We start from the raw sequence: 8,905 nt of genomic DNA, 5'->3' as shown, positions 1-8,905 counted from the left end.
TGGCTCTTAGCAAAATGGAAGGAGTTTCAGTACTTTTTGATCACCTCCACATACTGCATTCACATCCCAATTTATACAATCCCATAGGTGTTAATTATGGTCCAACGTTCTCTAATGCAGTGCCAAGTGTCACCCTCATAAATGGTGCCTTACATTCTGTACGTAGTTTCACTTCTCCATCAACCTTGTCAAAACCAAAATGAAATCAAGTTAGAAAAAAAATTTAAAGTTTATTGTGCATACAAAAAATCAGTTTGTGAACCGGGAGACCTCAAGCTGAAAGTGGTGAGAAGCCCTGCTCACAGTTGTTATAGCATAGTTTATAAAGCATAAAGAAGAAAGTACTTTGACCTTTTCTGTGATTGGCTGCTAACATTAACATTCTTGTTACGGCAAGCAGAGATGTTTAAATTGATTTGTCTATAGCTGATTGGCTTTATTTCACTGAATCATGTTGAAAGAACATGATGCTTACATTCTGTGTTAGGTTTATAAGGAGAGCTAGTGTTTGGGGGAAATCAGAATGACTTAAATTTTAACTACGTGGCTCCAGGCGTTGGCTTTGAGGGTATATCTACACTGTGGCCTCCATTTTTATTCTTCTTTAACATACTTTACCTTGCTGGTCATGCATTCCTGTGGGGCCTGCCAGCATCTAGCGGGACCCTTGGGAAGCAGTCAGAAAAATTAAGAGCTCCTCAACTATGAATGTTTTTTAAACTAAAAACTTTTGTAGAGATGAATGATTTCTCTGATAGTGAAATTTCAGGTATAATGGGAAATATTGGTGAATCAGATATTGGAGGACAACTTATTCTACTTGTGCATGATGACTAACCCTAACTCTTCACCTTGAACACCATTTGTAGTGTAAATGAGCTTTCAGTGTGTGCTAAAGTAAGGCATTTATCTTCTCTTAACTTGTGTAGAAAGTTGTATGTCTTGACCGGGCGCGGTGGCTCATGCCTGTAATCCCAGCACTTTGGGAAGCTGAGGCGGGTGGATCACCTGAGGTCAGGAGTTCAAGACCAGCCTGGCCAACATGGAGAAACTCCGTCTCTACTAAAAAAACAAAAAATAGCCAGCTGTGGTGGCAGGCACCTATAATCCCAGGTACTCAGGAGGCTGAGGCAGGAGAATCGCTTGAACCCAGGAGGCGGAGGTTGCAGTGAGCCAAGATCACACCACTGCACTCCAGCCTGGGTGACAGAGCGAGACTCCAACTCAAAAAAAAGAAAAAGAAAATTATATGTCTTGCCTGTGTACTCTAGCTTTAGAAGATCAGGTTTATGTGAGAGCATATGGCTTATGTTATCAAAAGGCAGGGATATATACTTTTCTGTCACATAAAAAACTTTAATTAGTAAGTTTGTACCAACACTTTCTCTATAGCACAGTGGCAAGATCAGTTTGGCTTAGAGGAAGAAAAACTGAATTAGGACTCAAGCCACTCTTTAAGCCTTTTTCTTTTTCCTCTGTAATGTGAAGGATTTGAATGAGGGGATCTCTAAGAGTTCTTCCTGCTCCAACATTTTTACTAAATGTTAAAGGCCTATACCAATATTTTATTGAACAAATGTCCTTACATATGTGATTACATTAGGCTCTGATAAAAATTTGGAAATGAGTGATGTTGGGGTTTATCGCTTCTTTGCAGACACCTTGTTAGCATGTCTATTAAACGGCTGTGCTGCTGAAATCCCACCAATTTAAAACTTTGCTGTTATTATTGCATTACATGATTCTTAGCAAATGATGGATCTGATAAGGGCCTAAGGAGCTCCCCTAACCAAATGTATTTCTATTTAAAAAGAAAACTTTAGAAGATATAAATATGTTTTAAATCCAAAGGAATGCTTATCTAATAATGTAATGTTAAACATTATAATAAGTGTGTGTGTGTGTGTGTGTGTGTGTGTGTGTATTCTGAAGAAAGTGAGCCTCTAAAATTTGACCACAGAATAGTTTTGGTCCATCTGCAAAGCCAGCTTTATACAAGTCAAATACTACAAAACATAAGATGTACAATTTGGGGGAATTTTTCTACAAAAAACACTGCACAAGTACTTACATGTCCTTGTTATTTAAATGGTATGCATGCACCTTTGGAAAATAAAATATTTGGGATAAGGTTTTCAATTTTGTTAATGAAAATCCCTAATAGCAAGCAAAGATATGAGAGTGCTCACAGATGGACAGGGATGTCCAATCTTTTTGGCTTCTCTGGGCCATATTGGAAGAAGAAGAATTGTCTTGGGCCACACGTAAAAGACACTAACACTAACCATAGCTGATAGGCTAAAAAAAAAGGGTTGAAAAAAATTCTAATGTTTTAAGAAAGTTTATGAATTTGTATTGGGCTGCACTCAAAGCTGTCCTGGACCACATGAGGCCAGTGGGCTGCAGGTTGGACGAGCTTGGACTGTAAGAATAAGGCACAGAGGGGCAGGGAGCAGCTTCTCTTTTAAATCAATCAAAAGTCATAAGAAGCCATGAGGTTTGGGTTTTTTTTTTTTTTGACAGAGTCTTCTGTCACCCAGGCTGGAGTGCAATGGCTTCATCATGGTTCACTACAGCCTGGAACTCCTGGGCTCAAGCGATCCTCCCATCTCAGCCTGCCAATAGCTAGAACTACTGGTGTGTGCCACCATGCCCCTCTAATTTATTTATGTATTTATTTATTTATTTATTTATTTATTTATTTATTTGAGAGACAGGGTCTTACTATGTTGCCAGGGCTGGTCTTGAGTGAGTTCCTGGGCTCCTGGGCTCAAGTGATCCTCCTGTCTCAGTCTCCCAAAGACATGAGATTAAAGGCTTGAGCCACTACTCCTGGCCAGGAAGTTATGTTTTAATTTTTGTAATGTGCACCTAGAGACTCATTTGATCTACTATAAATAAGCAAAGTTTATAACAGATCGTAGTTCTTTCTAAGGGGAAAAAATGGGGTTGGACAAGGAAGAGAATAAACAAACACACACAAAGAGACATTTCTATAAAAGGTATTTTGTTTTTAAGCAATAACAAATATTTTATTTTCAAGTGCTCTTAAGGAAAAAATGCCATTTTGAAAGTAAAAAGGAAAAGGAAAAAGTTATAGCCACCTGAGACCAAACTATCCAAGTGCATTATTATCTAAAGTGTTACATGCACACACATATTAACTAGCAGAGAGAAGGGTTGTGGCAGTCTCTTCCCTTGATCATGCCAACCAACATCTTAAAATGGATTGATACACTGAAAGGGTACACTTAAAAAAGAGAGAATGAACAGGCATAACTTTCCTGATAATTCCTGCTGTCTATGATATACCCTTCATGTGGCATTCAATATATAAGTCAAAAGGAGGCCCTTTAATGTGGGAAGGAGTTGAAGAATCTTATATGAATAGAGAATTCTCCTCATTGCACCGTAAAGAACACTTTTTGAGAGCACGTGAACAGAAAAATAACATCTGCTGAATATAGACTCTTGCTCTCCTGGAGAGCATTGTGTAGACACCAGTTCAGTCTTAATTCTGAAACACTCTGCAAACAGCTCCACCACCAAAGTTTTACAAAAAGTGTATATTTTAGTCCTCTTGACGAGGTGGGGTTACAGTGCCTAAGATCAAGTTCTGGAAGAAACCCCAGTAGAAATAACATTTACAGTTCATCTCTTATGGTGGAAGATTTCTCCATATGAGCAATCTAATCCATTTAATATTGATCCTAATCAGTGTAAGCTTTGGAGAATGATGTTTCCTGACCTTTTCGCATAATTTCAGAGCTACACCCTAATTAGAGTCTATAGTCTATTCTGCAATGATTAGGCAACCAATCAACATTTGAGCAGGTAATTTAAGCTACATATTCAACTATGAGGATTGATTTTTCTTCAGAATCTTGGTCTTTAACCAAGTTCCTCTGGACAGCTAGCTGTGATTAGAGCAGAATCAGTGGCCCAATAAGCAAGTGGAGCCTTCTGCTATGGTAGGATGCTACTGTTGATCATTAATCATCAGAAAACTTAATCAGCACACGACTAAATCATTGACTTAGGCATCACTAATGATTAGATCTTAAATTTGTAATTCATGAATATTGGGTGAACATCTGTACAACTGGCAGGACAATGTTATTCATCCTCCTTGTCTAAGCTTCAACCTAGTGGCTTAAGGTAGGAGTAGAAACAGAACAGATTATTCATTCATTAAGAAATCTGTATCCATTCAGATCTGTAACCAGTCTTGACAGAGGCTAGACAAATCAACTCTTTATAACCATTCCTACCCTAATTTCACTACCAACAGTTAAATTTATTCTTTCATTAAGCCTAGATTTTTTATATGATATCTACTACATACTAACAATTATGTTAGGTACTACAGCTATAAAATGAACAAGGGGAACAAAAATTGCCTACCCTTTAGTTACATACAATCCAGTTGATCAGAAAGCAAATAATAGAACAATTACAAATACTGGAAAATAATAAACCTTTTTTTATTTTTTTTTTTTTTGAGACAGAGTCTTGCTCTGTCACCTAGGCTGGAATGCAGTGGCACGATCTCGGCTCACTGCAACCTCTGCCTCCCGGGTTCAAACAATTCTGCCTCAGTCTCCCTAGTAGCTGGGATTATAGGCATGTGCCACCACGCCTGGCTATTTTTTGTGTGTCTTTAGTAGAGACAGGGTTTCACCGTATTGGCCAGGCTGGTCTCGAACTCCTGACCTTGTGATCTGCCCACCTCGGACTCCCAAAGTGCTGGGATTACAAGCATGAGCCACCACTCCTGGCCTTATATATAATAAACTTTAAGATAGAGTAAATAAAGTGTGCTGTGTAATGATGGAGAATGGCCACCTAACCCAGTTTTGGAGGATTAAGTTATAACTTTCAAGAATAAGGGTCTAAACTGAGTTCTGAAGAATGTCAAATTTGATGTTGAAAATTCATTTATTTAAAGGAATTGGTTGGATACTTCAATCAAATTAGCAGACCTTAGCAGACCTGTAGTCCCACATAGACATAATCACAGGAGTTACTTAATGCCTTTAGTGAATATGTACTAGAGAAGCAGTGTGGCCGAATGAAAAAAAGAACAGAGAATGGGACAGAAGACTTAGGTTCAAATATGAGATGTTTTTCATGTACTTCAAAACTGGTTTATCGGACCTATTTACATTTTACAAACTAGTTTTATATATACAGTATACGTTTCAATTGCTATTTTACTATGAGTTTGAGTACAGCATATATAATTCTGATCTTGTCTCTTCTATTGTTGTGGAAAGTCAGGGACCCCGAACAGAGGGACCAGCTGAAGCCACGGCAGAAGAACATAAATTGTGAAGATTTAATGGACATTTATCAGTTCCCAAAATTGATACTTTTATAATTTCTTATGCCTGTCTTTACTGCAGTCTCTGAACATAAATTGTGAAGATTTCATGGACATTTATCACTTCCCCAATCAATACTGTTATAATTTCTCATGCCTATCTTTAATCTCTTAATCCCATCTTCTTCATAAGCTGAGGATGTATGTCACCTCAGGACCCTGTGATGATTGCATTAACTGTACAAATTGATTGTAAAACATGTGTGTTTCAACAATATGAAATCAGTGCACCCTGAAAAAGAACAGAATAACAGCTATTTTCAGGGAACAAGGGAGATAACCATAAGTTCTGACTGCCTGCAGGGTTGGGCAGAATAGAGCCATATTTTTCTTCTCACAGCCAGCCTATAAATGAATGTGTGAGTAGGAGAAATATCGCTGAATTCTTTTCCCAGCAAGGAATATTAATAATTGATAACCCTGGGGAAGGAATGCATTCTCAGGGGTAGGCCTACAGATGATCACTCTGGGACCGTCTGTCTTATGCGGTTGAGATAAGGGATGAAATATGCCCTGGTCTCCTGCAGTGCCCTCAGGCTTACTAGGATTGGGAAATTCCAGCCTGGTGAATTCTAGTCGGGCCAGTTGTCTGCTCTCGAACGCTGTTTCCTGTTAAGATGTTTATCAAGACAATGCATGCCCAGTGGGACATGGAGCCTCATCAGTAATTCTAATTTCGCCCTTGCCTTGTGATCTTTCTCTGCCCTCTGCCTTGTGATCTTTTATGGCCCTTTGAAGCATGTGATCCTTGTGACTTACTCCCTGTTCGTACATCCCCTCCCCTTCTAAAATCCCTAATAAAAACTTGCTGGTTTTGTGGCTCAGGTGGGCATCATGGAACCTGCTGATATGTGATGTCACCCCCGGAGGCCCAGCTGTAAAATTTCTCTCCTTGTACTCTTTATTTCTCAGACTGGCCGACACTTAGGGAAAATAGAAAAGAACGTATGTTGAAATATGGGGGGCTGGTTCCCCCAATATTCTATAAACTGGGAATAATATTAATATTGCTAATATTAACTTTGTAAAATTTAAACTGCTGATCAAATTTTAGACATTACTGTATTATTATTGTAAAGTTTTGGGCAATGCAAATGATATACACATGACAGTTTTCATTTGTTTGCCTTGGGGTTATATCTTTTAAAAATTTCTACATATTAAAATTATTTCACAGGAAATGAACATTTCCTTTTCTAGGAGACTAAAACACTTATTAAATTTAGGGGTAGATTAAAGTGACTGAGGTTTAGTTCAAAAGCTGGAGAATAAATATAAATGAGCTTTCAAAATCCTTTTCCATTCAACGATGCTATAATATTTAGTTATGTTTTAGAATTTTCCAACATAAGTTATCACCATTATCAAAAGATACATTCCAAAACATTACAATTATTGTCAATACAATAATGTTGACACTTACAAGGCAGGAACAGTGATGAAATGGCTATAATCTGTTTTGAATGACATAAAATTGTGTTCCATGCCAAAACATGAAATAAAACAAATGGCTACTTTGGAAATTCTAGTTTCAGTGTGTCCTTAGAAAAATTACCTTGTATCAAATATATACACCACCTGGTGGACTAATGCCCCAAATGATGACTGAGTGGTTATCTATCAACAGATGTGCAAACACTCTATTACAAAGGAATGTCTGGTGGAAGGAAATTGACAATCATAATTTGACAATTAGACATTGGTTCATTGGTTGATAATACCTATGAGCCAATGTCCTTGTACTTCTTTTTTTTTTTTGAGACGGAGTCTCACTCTGTCGCCCACGCTGGAGTGCAGTGGCGCGATCTCTGCTCACTGCAAGCTCCGTCTCCTGGGTTCACGCCATTCTTCTGCCTCAGCCTCCTGAATAGCTGGGATTACAGGTGCCTGCCGCAACACCTGGCTAATTTTTTTGTATTTTTAGTCGAGACGGGGTTTCACTGTGTTAGCCAGGATGGTCTCGATCTCCTGACCTCATGATCCGCCCGACTCGGCCTCCCAAAGTGCTGGGATTACAGGCGTGAATGTGTTTGTACTTCTATTTGTTGTTTTTTTAAATTAGTTGCAGTGTTTTCATGGTGGAGAATTTAGCTTAAAAATGACAATAATTTCTTTGCTCTTGAAACTAGATAATCATTTGCTATTTAATATTTAATAACATTATTAATACTTATTGTGTGCCTAAATGCATTTGAGAAATTCAATTAAGTCTACATTTATCTCAGAAGTATAATTTTCTTTTAATTTTATATTATAATGCAGTAGTAATTAACTCTCCATATGTGAAATATAGTTTACCACCATTTACATGACATTATTCTGATAAACACAAATCTGTTGTTACAATCATATAAGGATGCTTTCAAGGTGAAATCAGTAGTCAGTAGGCTGTGAGAAGATTAAATTTCTGTTGTATTTTGGATGGAGTTCTTGCTTGTTTGATTATGTTCAATAGCTATCTGAAATACATACAATATAAAGGGAGTTGCCACTGTGTGATTCTAAAAATTTTTAATGATGTGTCTGAAATAAAGTTATTGGATAGCAATTGACCAAAGGCCACAAGGAGAAAATGGAAATATTCTCTTGCAAAGTTCTTATGCTACTCATAAATTAGTAGAGTATCACTTGAAGACCGACTATAAGAAGTTAAAGAAGTATATTGTAAACTCTAAAGCAACTCCACACATACACACAAATAAAATAAGTGGATATCTCTGTGATTAAAAAAGAAGACCTTTTTCTTTGCCTCACACCATATATAAAATTCACTCAAAATTCATCATAGATCTAAAAATAGATTTCTTAAGATGGAACAATACCAAAATACCTCACAACCTATAAAAGATCAACAAATTAAACATTTTAAAAATTAGAAAAATCCCTTTATTCTTCTAAGAAAACTGTTAGAAAAAAAATTTTAGAGCAGGAGAAATATTTTTTAAAAAACATACCTGACAAAGGACATGTATCTAGACTACATAAAGAACTTCTACAACTCAGTTATAAGACAATCTAATTAAAAATAGGTTAAATATTTTAACAGACACTTACTCAGAAAAGATATGCAAGTGGAAAATAAGCTCTTGAAAAGATGCTCAATGTCATTAGTCATTAAGGAAATGCAAATTAAAACTGCAAGTAGAGAATACTATAATCCAACTTAAGCAACTTAAATGTAAAACCCTGACTATAGTAAGAGTTAGCAAGGTTGTGAAGCCCTGGAACACTTCTGTAATGCTGGTGGGAATGTAAAATGCTACCAACACTTTGGAAAATCATTTGGTATTTTCTTAAAACTTTGAATATTCTCCTATCGAAAGTCACTCCTAGGTATTCACCCAAGAAAAATGAAATGCTGAACCTTTTAAGATAATATTTTGCGGCCGGGTGCCGTGGCTCATGCCTGTAATCCCAGCACTTTGGGAGGCCGAGGCGGGCAGATCACGAGGTCAGGAGATCTGAGACCATCCTGGCTAATGCGATGAAACCCCGTCTCTACTAAAAATACAAAAAATTAGC

The 8,905-nt window shown here is 37.3% G+C and overlaps 1 annotated feature.

Annotated features, from left to right (window-relative positions):
* Window positions 5,753-6,294: an enhancer, noted in NCBI's record as "OCT4-NANOG hESC enhancer chrX:112963371-112963912 (GRCh37/hg19 assembly coordinates)". NCBI's record gives its function as "activates a minimal SCP1, AML or CMV promoter by ChIP-STARR-seq in primed H9 embryonic stem cells {active_cell/tissue: H9 hESC(primed)}" and the evidence as "EXISTENCE:reporter gene assay evidence [ECO:0000049][PMID:30033119]".

Source organism: Homo sapiens, chromosome X, assembly GCF_000001405.40.
Source record: "Homo sapiens chromosome X, GRCh38.p14 Primary Assembly".
In the NCBI taxonomy this organism is placed as follows: domain Eukaryota; kingdom Metazoa; phylum Chordata; class Mammalia; order Primates; family Hominidae; genus Homo; species Homo sapiens.
Note: the sequence above shows the minus strand (reverse complement) of the source record. Positions and strands in the feature narration are given on the sequence as shown.